The sequence below is a fragment of the Homo sapiens genome, chromosome 20 (genome assembly GCF_000001405.40).
Source record: "Homo sapiens chromosome 20, GRCh38.p14 Primary Assembly".
Lineage (NCBI taxonomy): Eukaryota > Metazoa > Chordata > Mammalia > Primates > Hominidae > Homo > Homo sapiens.
In genome coordinates this window covers 20148651-20170970 of record NC_000020.11, presented here as the reverse complement: position 1 = coordinate 20170970, position 22320 = coordinate 20148651, and the positions used below count along the sequence as shown (strand labels likewise).

The 22320-nt window shown below is 39.6% G+C and overlaps 1 protein-coding gene across 2 annotated transcripts in view, besides 1 other annotated feature; it reads right to left on the bottom strand.

Annotated features, from left to right (window-relative positions):
• The window catches only part of CFAP61 (cilia and flagella associated protein 61), a 308167-nt gene that overhangs the window by 189728 nt on the left and 96119 nt on the right, over positions 1-22320 (bottom strand). For both annotated transcript variants that reach the window (NM_015585.4, NM_001167816.1), the window contains 4 exons: positions 11527-11601; positions 6743-6921; positions 4535-4574; positions 1511-1650 (listed from right to left, as the gene is read on the bottom strand). In NM_015585.4, coding sequence (NP_056400.3) covers positions 1511-1650; positions 4535-4574; positions 6743-6921; positions 11527-11601 — 434 coding nt within the window. The remainder of the gene's footprint in view (positions 1-1510; positions 1651-4534; positions 4575-6742; positions 6922-11526; positions 11602-22320) is intronic.
• Positions 5407-5572: a silencer, noted in NCBI's record as "fragment chr20:20146043-20146208 (GRCh37/hg19 assembly coordinates)". NCBI's record gives its function as "represses an EF-1alpha promoter that drives an FKBP-Casp9 reporter gene in an ReSE screen in HepG2 liver carcinoma cells {active_cell/tissue: HepG2}" and the evidence as "EXISTENCE:reporter gene assay evidence [ECO:0000049][PMID:32094911]".

The following is a 22320-nucleotide window of genomic DNA, read 5'->3' as shown; positions in this document are numbered from 1 at the left end:
TAATTAGGTCACTGTGAGTGTTGACACATGGAAAGTGATTATTAAGAAAGCGCCTGGCACACTATAAACCCTCAATAAATGTTAATTATCCTTACTATTAGTACTTGTACTATTATTGTTTGACTGCTTTTCTCACCATCCTAGCTATCTTTCCACATAGGATATAGAAATCTGGTTTTATTTCTTCAAGTCGTCATCATAATGTACTAAATTCATTTGCTAAAATTCATTTAACCAGTCCCTAATTATGAAGTGAACATCTAGGATGTTTCTCAAAGTTTCACTCAAAAGGTTAACACAGCAATTATAGAGTGAGCTCTCTGACACTCCTCCACCAAACTTTTCATCAGAAGATTGTGCATCAACTTTATTGAGGTCTAATTTACATACAATGAAATGCACTCATTTCAAGGGTGCAGTTTGATGAGCCTCAGAACATTTTGTAAAAATAAGATAGAAGGTATTAAATATACACTGATTTTTGTTTTTTGTTTTTTCCTGTAGAAACAGTCTGGTCATGCCTTTTATTAATTTTTCTATTTAGGTATTAAGTGATTTTTTTTATTGATTCATTAAAGCTCTTTATATATTAAATACATCCACCTTTTGTCTGCCATATTTGTTTAAAACATCCTTCTGTTGGTCAGTTACATTTTAATAAAATCAGGTGGTTCAAAAAACTTGGTATAGTATAAGACACCTTAATCTTTTTCTTTCATGTTTTAAAAAGAACTTTCCCATTCTGAGACAGGATAAAGGTCAATCTTCACTCACTTTCCTCATCCAGCACTCCGTATTACTTTCTCAAGAAAGCTTCCTCTGGCTGGGCCAACTCTCCCAATGTTCCATGCTCAGTACCACATGCCCAGGACTGGTTACTCCCATCACAGTTGCAGTTTTACACTCTGTGTGTCCATAAGCCTTGAAAAGGCAGGGACCATGTCTACATGTTGTTCACCATTGTGTTCCCAGAACTTGGCACAGAACTTAGCACTGTAAATATATTTTCTAATTTTTATGTTTTCAATACTTACATTTAACTCTTTAATCACCTGAGAATCTATTTTATGATAGAGTATAAAAAAAGTTTCTACCTCCATTTTGTCTCATGATTTACAGAAGAATCCTTCCTTTTCCCACTGTTGTGACACACACTTTGTCGTGAATGTATTATATACACACACTCACATACAAAGATCTGCACAATCTGAGTTCCTACTATACTGGATCTGTTTCTTGTGTTACATTGTTCTGCCTACAGAATCTGTCAACATGGCATTGTCTTGATTATTGTGGAGCTATATTATGTTTTAATATCTGACAGGACAAATCTCTTCTCAAGTGCCATTCTTTCTCTAAATGTATTAGTTAAAATCACTTACTCAAGACCTCTTCTAATAAAAGATGATATTTAAAATAAATTATTAAATTATAATAGCAGGGAGTTCCTTGTTCCCTTCTCTTCTGTAATTTCATGGATTGTTGTGTGGCCAAACATGTGTCTACTCACTTGAGCAATCCAGCCCGGTGGAAGACGTAGAGGTCCTGCTCGAGGGTGCAGGTGTTGAAAGGGACCATTTTCACGAAGTTCTGGATGAGGAAGAACTCGGGGGTGAGATGGGGCAGAGAAATTACACAGAAGTTCTTATCCTAACATCATCAAAAACCAGGACACAGAGAAAGAATAAAAAAAATTAATCAAAAAACAAATTCCTCTAAAAAACACCAAGAAAAATAGAAGCAAAATGTGTTGATTAAGGAGAGGATATTCAAATTACCTTTCCTATAATTTGGAAAATAATCACATAAAATTCAGGAAATAAGCAACTACAAGAGCAGGGAAAAGGTATCTTTGTTTCTCACTGAAACCTGAATAAATGAATCTTATAAACAATGGCAGTCATTCAGCATAACTCTTCTGTGGAAGTAGTTTTTAAACCAAGACAATTCATACAGGTAAGTTCACTTGTGTCACCAAGTCAATGAGGTAGCATGGTGTCCTAGCAAAGGCCCCTTGCTTACTAAGTGACCTTACACCAGTGGTCCCTTCCTCTTGCGAGATGGGAGGATGATACTTCAGGCATTTTTTGGCTCTAAAATTCTGTGATTATCCATAAACCAATGTGTACGTATTTTATCATGACGTGATCCCAGTTGGGTGAACAGATCCATGAGCATGATTAAACCCAGGCAGTGGGTTTAGTTAGCAGACATAAGAGGTCTTGCATGTCCTGAGGGCTGCCATTCATTCTATTCTAGGCCTGCCCTGTCAGTACAGTAGACAATGAAATGTGGCTAGTATTGGCGGAGGAACTAAATTTTAAATTTTATTTCATTTAAATTCATTTAAATTAAAAAAATGGATACTTAATTCCATTACTGGAAAAGTTTTATGTGTGCTTGGATTATGTGAATCTACGTATCCAACTGTAAATTTTATAACATACAAATACAGATGAACTATTTCTGATGAAAATTTAGTACTTGTATTGTGATGTACTATAAATGTGAAATATATATTAGATTTCAAAGACTCAGTACGAGAAAAAGATTGTAAATAGCTCATTAATAAGTTTTCATATTGATTATATGTTGAAATGATTAAATTTGCCCAGGCACAGTTCTCACTTCTGTAATCCCAGTACTTTGGGAGGCCGAGATGGGAGGATCACTTGAGCCCAGGAGTTCGAGCCCAGCCTGGGCAAGATGACAAGACCCCATTTCTACAATTTTTTTTTTAATTAGCTGGGCATGGTGGCATGTCCCAGCTATTTGGGAGGCTGAGGCAGGAAGATCCCTTGGGCCAAGGAGTTTGAGGCAGCAGTGAGCTATGATTGTGACATTGCATGCAACAAAGTGAGACCCTATCTCTTTAAAAAAAGGATTGGGCATATTAAGTTAAATAAAAGATATTATCATATAAACTTCATCTGTTCCTTTTTCTTTTTTTTCCTTGTGGCTCTTGGAACATTCAGAATTACCAATGTGGCTCACACTCCATGTCTGGACAGTGCTGCTCTAGGCTATCTGAGCTTCACGCAGCTGCCTGATCCTCTGCCAGGTCCCTGCAGAAGCAGCCTGCTCTTCCCGAAGCTAATTTGTCCCTTTGGGATCTCGCCTCCTCTTGAACCCTGTGAAGGCATTACTTGTGCTAATCCAAAACCCTGGGGACATTTGTGCAACTCAAAGGAGTGAACCATTGTCTGACCTTACCTTCCTTCTTTTTAGCAAATTAGTAGGACTCCTTTTGGGGAACCTGAGAGTCAAGTTGCTGAAATACTCAAGTTGAAAATAAGGACTGGGTGCCAAGTCTGGGTGGGCTTCCTCTGGGAGGGAGAGACTAACTATAATGAGTTGCTTCATCTTGGATTTGAAGGATTAAGGATGAAGCAACCAAGGTTATTTTTTTTCCTGTCGTCCATGTTCCGAAGTCAAATAGAATTGAAATGTAAACAGCTCTTTTACCTTTTTAAAGCCAGCATTACTTTTATAATGTTAAATATTTACGTTTACATGGACGTTAAAGTAGAAAATAATTAAAATTAGTGAAATTTATTTGAGGAGTTTTTGAGGGAAACCGACTTTGTAAATCCTATGTTCAGGGTAATCTACATTGTTTGGAAAGTGCCTTAATAAGTAATTTTTAAAAATTATGATGGAGAACATATTGCCTTATTATAAAGCTTCATTATAATAACAAATGAGGAAATAAAACCTAACATCACATAGTTGTAAGACAAAATAATTAAACTATACTTGTTTTTGCCTCATTAGAAACAGTATCCAGGAAAAGTAAAGCAATAGATACTTTTCTTGAAATCAGTCAACTGGAGAAGTACAGTTGTTGACTTTACTTAATTAACAGGCCTGTCTTTATAAAAATGCATTTTGTCCCTCAAAACTTCCTTCCTCATTTTCTTTCCTTCAATAAAGAAGTGTAAGAGTTTGGTTAGATCTTCATCCCTAGAAAATAATGAGACAAGAATGTAGGCAGAAGCCCGGGACACCCTGGCATGGAGAATCTTATTTGTACTTGGATATTAGCCTGCAGGCCCATTCATCAATGTGGGTTGAGCCCCCTCTACCAGCCAGGCATGAAGTCAGGCCTGAGGAACTAGTAGGGAAAGAAATGCCAACCTCAAAATCAACAAGTCCCTACTTTGCTACCCTCAGAAAAGCAATATGATGGTTTCAGAATACTTGGAGCCAACATAATCTATAAAATAACAGTGTCATTCACTTTAATTTCCAACATTTTCATGTATTACTATGAATGATTTGATTCTGATAAAACACTGGTAAAGCTATGTGTAACAGAAATTTTGCATTTAAAGAGAACTGCTAAAATAGCATGACTTAAAAATTCTTGAAAATGACAATATTTTGTATTTTTATGAGCTCATGACATGCCATTTGACCTTATTCTCCGAACACAAACCTCAACATTCACAGCATAATAAATTTATGGCATTTTACTTTTCTATAAGTTCTCTAAGCTTACAAAATCAGTTCTCAAAATTCAGCATGTACTTACAGAAAAAAGACTGAAAACAAAATTCATAAAATCCAGCGACCTGTAAACAAGACAGTAAGCACTGTCAGTGCCCTGCAAGCAAATGCAACATCAGTGGACGTTTACAGAGATTTACAGCTCCCTCCCCTCGGGCAGCGATTAGCCAACCACTAGTCAGAATGTGTGTCTAGGTGAACACTAATGGGGTGCATAAGTCGCAAGCTTCGTATGTCAGTAATAAAGTATTCTGCAGAACTGAAGGCACTTTCACATCAATTAACAATCTCTGTGCATTTGAAAAGCCAACACAAAATTGGTCATTCTGTGCCTCCGATCCTTCCCTTCTGTTTTGGAAGAGTTAAGAGGAGAGGTGGGAAATATTATAGGTTGCTTCTGATCTGTTTCCCTTTTATCTGTTGAAGATTTTCTGACTAGCTGTAGATGTACATTCATAGGCAAACCACACTGGGTCATCAAATTCCTGTTTCAAAATTCAAAAAGTATACTCTAAGCACAATCATATTTAAATGTACAGATAAAAGAAATATAAAGCAACAAATATAGAAAGGCTTTACAAGGTTTTATATGTCTACAACATAATTAGAATAAAAAGAATTTCTTTTCAATGTCCCAGATCTCCATAGAAGCTAAAAACTCGAGATGAAAAAAGTTAAAGTACAACAGGGGATGCTGGGAGACTGGGAACATGTTTAAACAGATCCTCTGAAGAGGAACTGTCCAGCTATTCTTGCTCATCTAAAAGACACCCTAGAGCCTTCCACTCCATCAAAATGGGCCAATTATTTCCTCTTCGAGATGGTTCTGTGAACAGATGAGGGGTGGGTGCTAAGGAGATGTGGAATCCAGGCACTGAGGGCAGCGTCCAGTGTCCAGACCACAGGAGAACAGCAAGCACTGAACATGTGGGTGTTCTGGAGGGGCAGGGTGGGTGGCTGTGAGGTCTGGTGGGCGCCGGGGCTTTAGACAAAGCCCAGCACCATGCATGCCTCCTCTTTGCTGTAGCCCTGGATTGCTGTTGGGTGTCAACTTATCCCCTGCTCAGATATTCCATGTAGCTGAGACTCCAGCTGCAGATTTGGCATGGAGCATGAGCTAAGGGATGGAGCCCATCTTCTCCATCTCCTTGTGGCATGGGCTTGTCACAGCCGTTGGCTCAGGAATGAACACACAGTCCTGTCAGGCCTCATGAGACTTTGGCTGGAAAAAGCTGGGCCCATCCCGGCAAGTCCTTCTCACTGGATTCTGATGCAGACCTGAGACCTGAGAATGTCAGTGGTCTTAGGCCCAGGATGGGGCACTCCTCTGAGAAGGGGTCCAACAGCAGGGAAGTAGGGTGATATGGTTTGGCTGTGTCCCCACCCAAATCTCATCTTGAATTGTAGCTCCCATAATTCCCACGTGTTGTGGGAGGGACCCTGTGGGAGATAACTGAATCATGGGGGTGGTTCCCCCATACTGTTCTTGTGGTATTGAATAAGTCTCATGAAATCTCATGGTTTTATAAGGGGAAACCCCTTTCACTTGGCTCTCATTGTCTCTTTGCCTGCCGCCATGTAAGACATGGCTTTCATCTTCCCCTATGATCGTGAGGCCTCCCCAGCCACGTGGAACTGTGAGTTCATTAAACCTCTTTTTCTTTATAAATCACCCAGTCTTGAGTATGTCTTTATCACCAGCATGAAAACAGACTAACACACAGGGTGAAGAGGTAGAGAGAGAAACTTGGTCCTTGATTTGGTAATCTAAATAAATCCTAGATCAAGCCATATTTAAAACAGTCTCACCACCAGAGTTATCCTTAGTTATGTGAGGCAATTATTCAATTTTTTTTTCAAAGCCAGTTTGGTTGGATTTCCTGTTACTTGCAACCAAAGACTCTAGACAACCAGTAACCCAAATTCAAATTATCCAAGAGATGCAAACTTTACAGAATGGGAGCAGCATGTGGTTATGTAAGTGATAATTTTCCAGATTCCCAATTGTTACATAGGTAGGCCAGATTTCTAGCCCACTTCTGTAGGCCTTGTTAAAATTTGATGGACTAGAATCTCTGGATGGGGCTTAGGAATTTGTGTTTTAAAAAATTCCCCAGGAGATTAGGATGTGGGCCAGGTTTGGAAATTACTGGCTCTGTAAAGTTAAAATGTTGGGCCACCAATGCCAGAAAAGATTCTCACTGTGACAGCCAGCCAGAAGGTCAGTACTTGCCTTGCTTCATATTTCTCATCAATACAAAACAGCTGAATACAAAAAGCAGCTGAGGCTCCCCTGTAGATGGGGCGGAAGTGGACGGGCTCTTCAGGCAGTACGAGCGATGCCAAGCTCCTACTGCTGACATGGTGATACTGTGCATATCCAGTGGAGATGTCACTGAGTTTTTCTATGTCCTAGAGCAAGGAGACAGGAGGAGCCAATGAGAATCCTGTCAATGCCCTGTAATTTAGTGGGCTGGTGGCTGCATTATCTCTACATGACACCGTTCTGAGGACAGGTGTGACTGTCACCCGAAACAACTCATCCTGGGCCAGGCCTGGTTTTAAGGAGAGGTTCTTAATGAGATACTCAAAATTCATAAAATGTTTTTAAAAACTAGTTCTCCAATGAGAACACATGGACACAGGGAGGGGAACAACACACACTGGGGCCTGTCAGGGGGGTCGGGGGGAAAGGGAGGGAGAGCATTAAGACAAACACCTAATGCAGGCAGGGCTTAAAACCTAGATGACGGGTTGATAGGTGCCGCAAACCACCATGGCACATGTATACCTAGGTAACAAACCTGCACGTTCTGCACACATATCCCAGAACGTAAAATAAAATTTAAAAAATAATAATAATAAAGAAAAAAAAAACTAGTTCTCACATGAAGGTCTCACACAAGACAAATAGTTTCAGTTGGCCTTTGACATAGGGTCCATATTTTAACTGCATCCCAGGGTAGAGATTAGAGCGTGATAGTATTATATACATATTATAATAACTCCAGAAGCAAAATCCCTCTGTCCCCAAAGCTGTTTTCATTGTGATACAAGAATTTTTGAATCTTGGGACTGCTCAGGTGGTCCTGGGAGTAACTATCGTGGGGAGGTGGAGCCCAGGAAGGTCCAGTGGACCACAGCCACCTGGAAAGTCAGGGCTGAGGCTGTTCTGTCTTGGTTTAGGTGCACCTAAAAAGGTGTCATAACTCAGAAGATGATTCCCTTTGAGATCCCTCATGGAGTTCTTTTAAATCAAAGTAATACATGCATATGGAAAAATTTAAAATAATATTAGCACCAAACATTTATTAAGAAAATCAGCAGTTCTCTGTCCTTCCAAGTCTCTACCCCCATTGAACAGAACTTTCAACGTTTTCATTTATTTGGGTATATATTTACCTCTATATTTCTGAACAATATGCTTATGGTGCTGTTTCTAAATTCATTAGTTTTTAGAATTTCCTATTCAATATTGATGCAGTGGCTAGATTAATCCCTCTCATACTACCCTCTTCCCCACATCTTATCCCCCAGGAAAATTACATCACAATTCAGGGTTAAATCCGTAAGTATTTACACTAATATGAATGTGTAAGTTCTGTTGTTGCTGAGCAAAGTAGTGTAATATGACAATGTTTTCATCTGTGTGCTTAGTTTTTATTCACTTGGTTTGCTAAGTTTTTCACTTCCTTTATCAGATTTGCCAAGTGTTGGTCACTATTATTTTCCAAATGATCAGGCGTTTGAGATAATATATGAGCTTCCTTTTTTCTCCCCTCTAATCTGGACTTGCAGCTCTGCCGTCCTGCCTGTATTGCAGCTCCTATTTTGTAAGTTCCAGGTCTTTTCTTTGTCTTTTTTGTTCATCATTTAGGCCCTCATATCGTTAGAGCACATTTTTAGCTTCCTAAAAGCAACATGCTTGAGAGGCAAAACTCCACAGACACTGGCTAACTGGGGCACTTCATGGGGTGATCAGGCAGAGATCTGGCATTATTACTGGGTGGCCACCTTCAGTGACATCATCTGAAGGCATTTTCCTTGGGCCTGTCAGTTTTTTGGGACTTAAGTTCTCCAATATTCTGTATTGAGGACTGTGGTCCCCAAAGATGTTACAGGTACTAGTCCCTGCAACCTGTAAATATGTTATCTTTCAGGGCACAGGGATTTCGCAGATGTCATCACATGAAGGGTTCTATGATGAGGAGATGCTCCTAGATGATCCGGGTGGGCCCAGAGGAATCATAGGGATCTGCTAAGAGGGAGGCAGCAGGTCTGAGTCAGAGGGAGGAAGATGCTGCGCTGCCAGCTCTGAAGATGGAGGAAGGGGACACAGGGCATGGAATGCAAGTGGCTTCTAGAAGCTGGCAAAGGCAAGGGAACAGATTCTCCCCTAGAGTCTCCAGAAGGAACACGCCCCTGTCTACACCTGAAGCTCAGCACACTCAAACCCATTTTGGAATGCTAACCTCCAGAACTGCACAATAATAAATTTGTGTTGTTATAAGCCACCAAGTTTGGGGTAATGTGTAACAGCAGCAATAGAAACTTAATACAAGGCCTGGCTCCTGGCATTGAGAGGGCGTGGCTGGAGGAGGGGCTGTGGATTCCTCTGTTCGAAGTGGAGAATTCCACTTACTTGTCTGTTCTCTATTCCTCACCGTTACAACGCCCATGCAGCACAGGCTAAATCTGAATTAGCAGCAGCCTCTGTTCAATTTCTCTAGAGAATAGTCATTTTATCCTCTCACTTGGGGTGTGGCTGACAACCTAACTGGAGTCTGCAGGGATCCAGTGTTCCAGTCACTCCACATCAGACTGCCCAGCTTTTCAGCCCAATTCCTCACCCCACCTTCTGCAAACCTCCAGTCTTCAGCCTTGTGCAGAATTCACACACTTTTCACCAGTCTCTCCTCCCATAAAGATGCCTGAGTTTCACCTTCCTCAGCTGTGCTAAGCCAATGTAAACTCTTCCATTGATTTTTTTATTCTCAATATTTTTAAAGTGCTTATCTTCCAATATCTCCTCTCCATCTCACCTTTGTGGATTTGTGCCCTTTTTATCCCTTTACTGTCATTTCAGTGTTTTTCTCCGGTAGGGAGAGGAGATAAAAATAGGAGATCAATCCACCTTGTTGACTCAGGTGTCTTCTGGGGTTCCAACCATGTTTGATGCAGTGGTGGGGGCAGGCATCCTGTCCCTCCAACCACATCCTTGCTTGGGTTCATAACGGAACGGCTACCCTCTTAGGAATATTAGAGAGAAAACTGCTGTCCTCTTCTACACCCTGACTTTCCTCCCTAGGGCACAGGGAGTGACCAACTGGTCAGTGAGTCTCCTAGTGTGGGTTGCCCCAGAAACACACCCTGAATTAAGTGTCTGAGAGTCAGTAGTTTACTTGGGGAGCAAAGCCAGGAAATTCTGTAAGAGGAGTGGCATGCGAGGTGAGGAAGGGGAGGCTGCCAGCATGGGGTGTTTCAAGATGTGGGTGACTATGGTGAATCAACCCCACCTGGATCTCCGAAAGCCTAGAGAACACAGTGCAGAGTGGTCCCACCTAAGAGGTGAAGGAGCTGGCAAATTGATTCTCCAATCCCTTCAGTCACTGGCTGATGGCTGCTTCCCCAAACAGCCTGCCCTGCTGCAAACATGGCATGGAAGAAAGACCAGGCACTTGCAGTCCTTGTCTTCACAGAGTGCTCAGGAAGAATACGTGCTAGAGGATATGGGTGGGGCTCCAACAGCATATGCTAATGTGAGATTCAAAAACTGGACCCTGTGCCTACATCGTGCTTTCTCTTTCTGACAGCACATCCTGCTCCCAGGTTGTGTGTTTTCTCCTCCCCTCCATGCAATTAGCTGGGAGTGGGGAGACCCTGCCCCACAGGTGAGGCCTGCCTACAACCACATGGGGGCACTTAATTCAGTAAGGAGAAATGGGAAGCCCATTTGTGTTCTCGGTCCAAGCTTTGTTCTCTGGTTCAGTGTTAGCCATGAGAAAGGGGTACTTCAATCCCTAGCTGACTTCTGGGTAGACTCCTTCACTGGTCAGAATCTGGAGAGGAGACAGGTTGGAGAACCTGGTCCTCTGGCAGAACTTCAGTGTCTGGGCTTAGTGTTCAGTGAATCTGTCCCAGTGCCTCTATGGATATGACCAAGCCCCATGTTCCATTCCCTTCTCAAGGGTTCTCTAGGCTTCTGTTGCTGAGTCAGTCCATCCATCACCAAGAGGCTCTTGGGAAACTACTGAAATTCCAGGACTATGCTCATCATCAGGGAATGAAAATGCTTTATTGTACCAACCTCCCACTCAAAAGCCTACAACACCCTCCTCTGCTTCTTAGGAAAAGTCTGAGATCCTGAGCAGGGTTCACAGGACCCTGCCAATCTCTTCCTGAACCACCAGGCTTCTGGCAGGGAACAGAAGGGACACTCCAATGGAGTGGTCAACGGACCACCTGCAAAGGCATGGGTGGGGTGAAGGGAAACCAACAAAGGATGGTGAAGTCCCCAGGGATAGCCACTGCACTGGTGGAAGATGCTATGCCCCTTGGCCTGAATTTGTAACAGGAGGGAGGACTTCCAAAATCCTGAGATGAATGTAAATGACATATATTAATAACACACCTAGACACGGACAGAAGTGTATGTATGTGCATATGATACAGAGAAAACTCTTACAAATGTTTTGCCTCTCCAAAATGTTTTCTTTTTGGGCAATGGGAAGGAGAGATAAGCTGTATTTACTAAAATTTTTGCAAATAATTTATGTAGAAAATGCAACTTACAGTCCAGGCCATGCAGAGGATACAGAAGAAAAGATTAATCACAGCAGGGGAAGAGGTAAGGAGGTGAGGCTTGGTGCAGCAAGTCCTAAAGGAGGTGGTAGGTGTGAACTGGTGGAGACAGGCAGGGAGATTGGGAGGAGGAAAGGGCACAAATCCTCTGAGGTAGAAAGGTGTGAAACCCATGGGGTGGCTAGAAGGCACGCAAAGGCCCTCGTCAAACCCTACCTCCGGTTCACTAACATTTCCACTTTGGACTGCTGTTAAAGCTTCCTCGGATGCAGCTTCTCTGGCAATATTTCCCTGGAAATGATGACAGCAAAACATGAAAATTAATCGACACCTACAGTGGTTTAGAGTCCAAGCTCTGGAGCAAACTGCCAGGGTTCAGACCCTGGCTCTACAGCTTACTGGCCTTGTGGCATTGGGAAAATTATGTAACCTCAGTTTCCTCCTCTGTGAAAAGGGGATGAGAAGAGCATCTATTTCATAAGGCTGTTATGAGGATAAAATAAAGACAGACAGATAGAGAAACAGATGCTTTGCATAGTGCAGGTGCCTCCTGATTCTCTGGAGATGTTAGTTATTACTCCATTATTCCTATTCTTCTGTTTAACTTGAAAGGTGCACTAAGTTTTTTCTTTAAAAAACTACTGTATTGAGGTATTATGATGGTGCAAAAGTAATTATATCAAAAGTAATTGCATTAAAGTAATGGCAAAAACTGCAATTATTTGTGCACCAAAAGTAATTTGTGCCAACCTAATAGAATTGACATACAATAAGCTACATATATTTGAAGTATCCTTTTTGAAAAGCTTTGATTTATGTGTACACCCATAAAAATATCACTGTGATCAAGATAATGAACATGACACATCGCCCCCCAAGCTTCCATGTTCCCATGTGCCTCTCACTCCCACCCTTTCTACTCTGCCAACCACAGGCAAATACTGATATGATTTTTGTCATTATAGTTTGTACTTTCTGTAATTTTATATTACTGAAATCAAATAGTATTTATTCTTTTTTGATCTGGCTTCTTTCACTCAGCATGTTTACTTTGAAATTCATCCATGCTGTTGCACGCATCAGTGGTTTAGTCCTCTTTGTTGCTGAATAGTATCCTGGTGTGGATGCACTTACACATCCTCACCAACACTTGGAATGCTTAATCTTTCTAGTTTTGGTCATTCTAATAGACGTGTAGTTGTATTTGATTGTGGTTTTAATTTGCATTTCTCTAATGACTAATGAGATTGAGTGTCATTTCATGTGATGTCTTATTTTGGAAAGTTCAAATCTTTTTTTTTTTTTTTTTTTCAAAGGTCCACTTGGTGTAATTTAATGCCAGATTCAGGCTTCTCCACAATAACAGTATTTGGCCACATTTTTTTTTTCATTTGATATTTGTTTTAATCTATTTTTTTTAATATACTTTAAGTTTTAGGGTACATGTGCACATTGTGCAGATTAGTTACATATGTATACATGTGCCATGGTGGTGCGCTGCACCCACTAACTCGTCATCTAGCATTAGGTATATCTCCCAATGCTATCCCTCCCCCCTCCCCCCACCCCACCACAGTCCCCAGAGTGTGATATTCCCCTTCCTGTGTCCATGTGATCTCATTGTTCAATTCCCACCTATGAGTGAGAATATGCGGTGTTTGGTTTTTTGTTCTTGCGATAGTTTACTGAGAATGATGATCTTTTGCCTATTTTTAATTAGCTTTTTTACTTTGTATTATTGTGTTTTGAGAGTTTTAAAAAATATGTTGTAGAAACAAGTCCTCTGTCAGATATGTAATTTGCAAATATTTTCTCCCAGTCTGTAGCTTGTCTTTTCATTCTCTTAAAGTACTTTTCAAAAAGAAAAGGTTTTAAATTTTGATGACATCTAATTGGTCAATTTCTTCTTTTATGTATTGTGCTTTTAATGTTGTTTCTAAGAAATCTTACCTAACCCAAGGTCACAAACATTTTCTCCTATGTTATGTTTTCTCTAGAGGTTATATTGGTTTGAATTCTACATTCAAGTCTATGATTCATTTGCAGCTAATTTTTGTATATGGTGTGAGGTATGGATTGAGTTTTTTAAAAGTTTGTATATGGATATAAAATTGTTTCAGAGAGAAAAGACTATTCTTTCTCCACTACATTGCCATGTGCCTTTGTCAAAAATCAGTTGTCTATATGTTGAGCCTATTTCTGAGTTGTTTAATTCTATTCCATTAACCTACTGTTGACCTTAGCACCTATATTACACTATCTTCATTACAATAATCTTATAATAATTAGGCCAGGCATAATGGCTCACACATGTAATTCCAGTACTTTGGGAGGCCAAGGTGGGCGGATCACTTGAGGCTGAAAGTTCAAGACCAGCCTGGCCAACATAGCAAACCCCCATCTCTACTAAAAATACATACAAAAAAATCTAGGTGTGGTGGTTCACACCTGTACCAGCTACTTGGAAGGCTGAGGCATGAGTATCACTTGAACCTGGGAGGCGGAGGTTGCACTGAGCTGAGATCATGCCACTGCACTCCAGCCTGGGCAATAGAGAGAGAGAAAAAAAAGAATCTTACAATAATTAATCTTGAAATCAGTTAGTGTTATCCTACAGCTTTGTTATTTTTCAAAGTTTCTCTGGCTGTTTTAGGTTATCTCCATTTTCATATAAATTTTGGAATCAATTAATTAAACTTCTATAAAAATTCCTGCTGAAAATGTGATTGGGATTTTACCAAATTTGCAAAGAACTGATTTAAAGATTCAATATCCCACGAACATAGAATATCTCTCCATGTATTTAGGTCTTCTTTAATTTCTCTCAGAAATGTTTTGTAGTTTTCACCATAGAAGTCTTGAATATCTTTCGTCAGATTTAATCTATAAGTATTTAACATATTTGTACTGTTGTAGATGGTATTTCAATCTGATTGTTCATTGCTATTATACAGAGATACAACTAAATTTTGCATATTAATTTTTTATATATTAGTTATAGTAGCTGTTTTGTAGATTCCATCAGATTTTTTTTTCATAGGTAGTCATGTTGTCTGTGAGTGAAAGATAGTCTTAATTATTCCTTTTTAATCTGGATGCCTTTCATTTCTTTTCCTATCTTTTTGCACTGGTTCAAATCTTCAGTACAGTTTTGATTAGAAGTGGTGAGAAAAGGCATTCTTAACTTGTTCCTGACTTTAAGGGTGAAACAATTAGTCCTTCACCATTATGTGTGACGTTTGCTGTAAGTTTTTCAAAAATAACCTTTGTCAAATTGAAAAAGTGCTAAGAGTCTTTATGAGGAATTAATGTTAGATTTTCAAATGTCTTTTATATATTTATGAGATAAACATATGGTTTTTTTTTAGTTTGTTAAAATGGTGAATTACACCGATTTTCTTATGTTAAACCAAACTTGCATTCCTAGAATAAACCCTACTCAGTCATGATTATCCTTTTTGTATATTGACTCAGTTTGCTAATTTTTAAATTTTTTTATTTCAATATTTTTGGGAGAACAGTTGGTGTTTGGTTGCATGGAAAAGTTCCTTAGTGATTTCTGAGATTTTAGTGCACCCATCATCCAAGCAGTGTATACTGTACCCAATGTGCAGATAAAAGACTCTATGTTGATGGCATTTAGTCTGGTTCCATATTTTTGCAATTGCAAATTGTGCTGTTATAAACATGCTTGTGCAAGTGTATTTTTCATATAATGACTTCTTTTCCACTCGGTAGACACCCAGTAGTGGGACTGCTGGATCAAATGGTAGTTCTACTTTTAATTCTTTAAGGAATCTCCATGCTGTTTTCGATAGTGCTTGTACTAGTTTACATTCCCACCAGCATTGAAAAACTCTTCCCTTTTCACCACATCCAAGCCAAGATCTGTTGTTTTTTTATTTTTAAATTATAGCCATTCTTGTAGGAGTAAGGTGACATTCCATTGTGGTTTTGATTTTCATTTCCCTGATAATTAGTGGTGTTGAGCATTTTTTCGTATGTTTGTTGGCTGTTTGTAAATCTTCTTTTGAGGATTCTCTATTCATGTCCTTTGCCCACTTTTTGATGGGATTATTTGTTTCTTTCTTGCTGATTCATTTGAGTTCTTTGTAGATTCTGGATACTAGTTCTTTGTCAGATACACAGTTTGCAAATATTTCCTCCCACTCTGTGGGCTGTCTGTTTACTCTGCTGGTTATTTCTTCTGCTGTGCAGAAGCTTTTTAGTTTAATTAGGTCCCATCTATTTATCTTTGTTTTTGTTGCATTTGCTTTTGGGTTCTTGGTCTTTGCCTAAGCCAATGTCTAGAAGAGTTTTTTCCAATGTTATCTTCTAGAATTTTTACGGCTTTACCTCTTAGATTTAAGTCTTTGATCCATCTTGAGTTGATCTTTGTATAAGGTGAGAGATGAGGATCCAGCTTCATTCTTCTACATGTGGCTCGCCAGTTTTCCCAGCACTATTTGTTGAATACGGTGTCCTTTTCCTACTTTATGTTTTTGTTTGCTTTGTTGAAGATTAGTTGGCTCTTAAGTATTTGGCTTTATTTCTGGGTTCTCTATTCTGTTCTGTTGGTCTACATGCCTATTTTATACCAGTACCATGCTTTTTTGGTAACTATAGCCTTATAGTACAGCTTGAAGTCACGTAATGTGATGCCTCCAGATTTCTTCTTTTTGCTTAGTCTTGCTTTGGCTATGCAGGCTCTTTTATGGCTCCATATGAATTTTTGGATTGTTTTTTCTAGTTCTGTGAAGAATGATGATGGTATTTTTATGGGAAGTGCATTGAATCTGTAGATTGCTTTTGGCAGTATAGTCATTTTCACAATATTGATTCTACCCATCCATGAGCATGGGATGTGTTTCCATTTGTTTGTGTCATCAGTGATGTCTTTCAGCAGTATTTTGTAGTTTTCCTTGTAGAGGTCTTTCACCTTCTTGGTTAAGTATATTCCTAGGTTTTTTGTTTGTTTTTTTAAGGTTTGTTGTTGTTGTTTTGGGATTTTTTTGTTTGTGTGTTGTTGTTGTTGCTGTTTTGTTTTGTTTGGCAGCTGTTGTAAAAGGGATTGAGTTCTGTATATGATTCTCAGCTTGGTCACTGTTGGTGTATAGCAGTGCTACTGATTTGTATACATTGATTTTGTAACCTGAGACTTTACTGAATATATCAGATCTAGGAGCTTTTTGGATGAGTCCTTAGGGTTTTCTAGGTATACAATCACATTATCAGTGAATAGCGACAGTTGGCCTCTTCTTTATCAATTTGGATGGCTTTTGTTGCTTTCTTTTGTCTAATTGCTCTGGCTAGGACATTAAGTACTATGTTGAATAAAAGTGGTGAAAATGTGCATCCTCGTCTTGTTCCAGTTCTCAGGGGGAATGATTTCAACTTTTCCTTGTTCAGTATAATGTTAGCTGTGGGTGTCTCATAGATGGCTTTTATTACTTGAGGTATGTCCTTTTTATGCCAATTTTGCTGAGGGTTTTAATCCTACAGGAATGCTGGATTTTATCAAATGCTTTCTCTGTGTCTTTTGAGATGATAATATGATTTTTGTTTTTAAATCTGTTTATGTCACATATCACATTTATTAACTTGTATATGTTAAACCCTGCATCCCTGGTATGAAACCCACTTGATCATGGTGTATTATCTTTTTGATATGATGTTGGATATGGTTAGCTAGCATTTTGTTGAGGATTTTTGCAACTATGTTCATCAGGATTATTAGTCTATAGTTTTCTTTTTTGGTTATGTCCTTTCCCGGTTTTGGTTTTAGTGTGATACTGGCTTCATAAAATGATTTAAGGAGGATTACCTCTTTCTTTATCTTCTGGAACAGTATCAGTAAGATTGGTACCAATTCTTCTTTGAATGCCTGATAGAATTCAGCTGTGAATTCATCTGGTCCTGGACTTTTTTTGTTGGCAATTTTAAAATTATTGTTTCAATCTCACTACCTGTTATTGGTCTGTTCAGAGTTTCTATTTCTTCCTGATTAATCTAGGAGGGTTGTATATTTCCAGGAATTTATCTATCTCCTCAAGATTTTCTAGTTTGTGCACCTAAAGGTGTTCACAGCAGTCTTGAATGTTGCTGTGGTATTGGTTGTAATATCAATTAGAAATTTCATTTCTAATTGAGGCTATTTGGATCTTCTCTCTTCTTTTCTTGGTTAATCTTGGTAATGGTCTATCAATTTTGTTTATCTTTTCAAAGAACCAGCTTTTTGTTTCGTTTATCTTTTGAATTTTTTTGTTACCGTTTCATTTAGTCCTGTTCTGATCTTTTTATTTCTTTTCTTCTGTTGGGTTTGGGTTTGATTTGTTCTTGTTTCTCTAGTTCCTTGAGGTGTGACCTTAGACTGTCTATCTGTGCTCTTTCAGACTTTTCGATGTAGGCATTTAATGCCATGAACTTTCCTCTTAGCACCACTTTTGCTGTGTCCCAGAGGTTTTGATAAATTGTGTCACTATTATCAGTCAGTTCAAATAATTTTTTATTTCCATCTTGATTTCACTGTTGACCCAAAGATCATTCAAGTTCAGATTATTTAATTTCCATGTATTTGTATAGTTTTGAGGGTTCCTTTTGGAGTTAATTTCCAATTTTATTCTACTGTGGTCTGAGAGGGTACTTGATATAATTTCAATTTTCTTAAGTTTATTGAGACTTGTTTTGTGGCCCATCATATGGCATATCTTGGAGAATGTTCCATGTGCTGATGAAAAGAATGTATATTCTGCAGTTGTTGGGTATTGAATGTTCTATAAATATCTGTTAAGTCCATTAGTTCTAGGGTATAGTTTAAGTGCATTTTTTTTGTTGACTTTCTGTCATGATGTCCTGTCTCAGGCTGTCAATGGAGTATTGAAGTCCCCCACTATTATTGTGTTGCCATCTATCTCATTTCTTATGTCTAGTAATAATTGTTTTATAAATTTGGGAGCTACCATGTTAGGTGCATATATATTTAGGATTGGGGTATTTTCCTGTAGGACTGATTTTTTAAAAATCATTTTATAATGTCCCACTTTTTTTAACTGTTGTTGCTTTAAAGTATGTTTTCTCTGACATAAAAATAGTTACTCTTCCTCATTTTTGGTTTCCATTTGCATGAAATAACTTTTTCCACCCATTGACTGCAAGTTTATAGGAATCCTTATGCATTAGGTGAGTCTCTTCAAGACAGCAGATACTTGATTGGTGAATGTTTATCCATTCTGCCATTCTGTGTCTTTTAAGTGGAACATTTACACCATTTACATTCAATGTTAGTACTGAGATATGAGGTACTGTTTTATTCAACATGCTAGTTGTTGCCTGAATACTTTGGTGTTTTTTTTTTCATTGTGTTATTGTTTTATAGGCCCTGTGAGATTTATGCTTATGGAGGTTCTATTTTCATGTATTTTGAAGTTTTGTTTCAAGATTTAGAACTTTTTTTAGTATTTCTTGTAGTGCTGGCTTGGTAGTGGCAAATTCTCTTAGCATTTGTTTGTCTGAAAAACACTTTCTCTCTCCTTCATTTATGAAGCTAGTTTTGCTGGATACAAAATTCTTGGCTGGCAATTATTTTGTTTGAGGAGCTAAAGATAGGACCCAATCCCTTCTGGCTTGTAGTGTTTCTGCTGAGAAACCTGCTGTAAATCTGATACGTTTTCCTTTATAGGTCGCCTGATGTTTCCGCCTTACAGGTCTTAATTTTCTTTCCTTTGTCTTGACTTTGACTTTAGATAACCTGATGACTATGTGCCTGGGTGATGATCTTTTTCCAGTGAATTTCCCAGATGTTCTTTGAGCTTCTTTTTTTTTTTTTTTTTTTGAGACGGAGTCTTGCTCTGTCGCCCAGACAGGAGTGCAGTGGCGCCATCTCAGCTCACTGCAGGCTCCACCTCCTGGGTTCACGCCATTCTCCCACCACGGCCTCCCGAGTAACTGGGACTACAGGTGCCCACCACCACACTTGGCTAATTTTGTTTTTGTATTTTTAGTAGAGACGGGGTTTCACTGTGTTAGTCAGGATGGTCTCAATCTCCTGACCTCGTGATCCGCTCACCTCGGCCTCCCAAAGTGCTGGGATTACAGGTATGAGCCACTGAACCTGGCCCTTTGAGCTTCTTATATTTGGATGTCTAGATCTCTAGTGAGGCCAGGGAAGTTTTCCTTGATTATTCCCTCATATATGTTTTCCAAACTTAGATTTCTCTTCTTCCTCAGGAATACCAGTTATCCTTAGGTTTGGCCGTTTAACATAATCCCAAATTTCTTGGAGGCTTTGTTCATTTTTTAATAATTCTTTTTTTTTTGTCTAATTGGGTTAATTTGAAAGCCTTGTCTTTAAGCTCTGAAGTTCTTTCTTCTACTTGTTCTAGTCTACTGTTGAAACTTTCAAGTGCATTTTGTATTTCTCTAAGTGTGTCTTGCATTTCCAGAAGCTATATTTCTTTCTTTATGACATCTATTTCTCTGGAGTATTTTTCATAAATATCTTGTATTTTTTTAAAAAATTTCTTTAAGTTGGTTTTCACCTTTCTCTGGTATCTCCTTGAGGAGCTTTATAACTTTCTGAATTCTTTATCTGGCAATTCAGAGATTTCTTCTTGGTTTGGATCCATTGCTGGGGAGCTAGTGTGGTCTTTTGGGGGTGTTACAGAACCTTGTTTTGTCATATTACCAGAATTTCTTTTCTGGTTCCTTCTCATTTGGGTAGACTATGTCAGTGGAAAAATCTGGAACTCAAGGGCTGCTGTTCAGATTCTTTTGTCCCACAAAGTAATCCCTTGATGTGGTGCCTTCCCTCTTCCCCTACAGATGGGACTTCCTGAGAGCCAAATTGCAGTGATTGTTATTTCTCTTCTGGGTCTGGTAACCCAGTGGGGCTACCAGGCTCTGGGTTATTGCTGTGGAATGTCTGCAAGGAGTCCTGTGATACAATCTATCTTCAGGTCTCCCAACCATGAATACCAGCACCTGCTCTGGTGGAGGTGGCAGGGGAGTGAAGTAGGCTCTGTGAGAGTCCTTGGTTGTAGATATGCTTAGTGTGCTGGCTTTCTCAAATGCTAGTTATGCTAGCAGTGAAGCTGTCATGTGGACAGACTCAGGACCACTGGTTATCCAGGATGTTTCAGGCAGTGGAATTGGTTTTTGTTTTCTCCTTTCTTGGAGCAGGGTTGTTCTGTCATGAGTTGCTGTAATGTCCTGAGTTGGTTGGCCTCAAGCCAGGAGGTGGCACTTTCGAGAGAGCACCAGCTGCAATAGTAGAAGGGGGATATAAGCTTGCCCTGTGTTGGCCAGGATAAGAATTTGGGTTTCTCAGGTGATGGGCAGGGCCATAAAGATCCCAAGCTTTTACGTCTTTTGTGATTGGCTACTGGGGTGGGTAGAGAAATACTATCAGGTGTGGGTAGGAATAGGCAGGTCTGAGCTCAGACCCTCCTTGAGCAGGGCTTACTGAAGCCACTTTGGAGTGTAGGGGGGTGGTGGGCGCATGGGGTTATGTTCCAGAGGGAATCATGGCTGCCTCTGTCACCAGGGAAGTGGGGGAAAGCCAGTAACAATAGGTTTCACCCCACTCCCATGGAGTTGGTGAGGCCAGTCTCGCTCTTGCCATGCTCTGCTAAGAGCGACAAGTTTATCTACAGGCAGCCTGTGTGTAGGACTCAGACCCAGCCCCATGCTATAAGTTTCTCCACTGAAGAAGCAAGTATGGCTTTCAGGCCATGCCCCTCCTCATCTCCCCACACTGCTGGCTGTGACTCCTGCACTCCTTTCTGCAGTGGTTCCCATTCATCCCCAGGATTCTGCTCAAGAGGGTTTGTGGCCAGTCAAAATTATTACAAAGTTCAGTTGGAAGTTTCTTTCACCCTGTGACCCCTTCCAAAATCTGGACTGCCTTCCCCGAGGATGTCTGTGAGATATAGTCAGGGATGGCTTCCCTGGGCTTGAGCTGGAGAATGGGAGTGCCTAGAAGGTTCTTCCTACTGCTGCTTCTACTTTTATATTTCACACTAAATCCATTTCAGTGGCAGGTAAGGTTAAATCTTTCTCCTGTAATCTGGATTTTCAGATTCGCCAGTGGGGATGTGTGTTCAGAAGCAAGTTTCCCCCCTCACACTTTGGGAATTCACAGGTTTTCGCCTGTCTTGTGGCAATTGCAGCAGTCTGCTGCTTCTTACAAAGGATCTGTGGTTTCTTTTGGTTTTCCTGGCATGCTCCTGTGATGGTTTCCGAAGCAAAAGTTCATGGTGTGAATCTCCACATGCTGTTTTGTCCATCCAAGTGGGAGCTGCATGTCAGCCCTGTTTCCTATCTGCCATCTTCCAGTTTGCTAAGTTTTTATTAGAATTTCCTCATCAATGTTCATGAGAAATACTGATCTGCAGTTTTATTTTCTTGTTAAGTCTTTTGTCATGAGAGACCATATCTCAGATGACTTGAATCCTAAATTTATTGAGTCTTGTTTTATAGCCCATAATATGGTCTATCTTGGTAAACTGTCCATGTTCTATGTATACTTGAAAAGAATGTATATTCTGCTGTTGTTGAGTGAAGTATTTTATATATGTCAATTACGCCAAATCGGTCAGTAGTGGTTTTGTCTGCATGTTTTTTCATGAGTAATGAAGTTGTTTTATTACTATATTGTTTCTTATTCTACTGCCAAGCTTTTGCTTCACTGTATATAAATAGCACCAGCAAATTCAGTGTATTGCAAAATTAAGAAAGTATTGTCAACATCATATTGAATGAGGAAAAGTTGAAAGCATTCCTTCTGAGAACTGGAATAAGACAAGGATGCCCACTTTCACCACTTCTATTCAACATAGTGCTGGAAGTCATAGCCAGAGAAATCAAACAAGAGAAAGAAATAAAGGGCATCCAAATTGGAAAAGAGAAAGTCAAATTGTTGCTGTTTCCTGATGATATGATCACATACCTAGAAAACACAAAACATCCAAAACACTAAAACATCCAAAAAGCTCTTAGATCTGATAAGCAAAT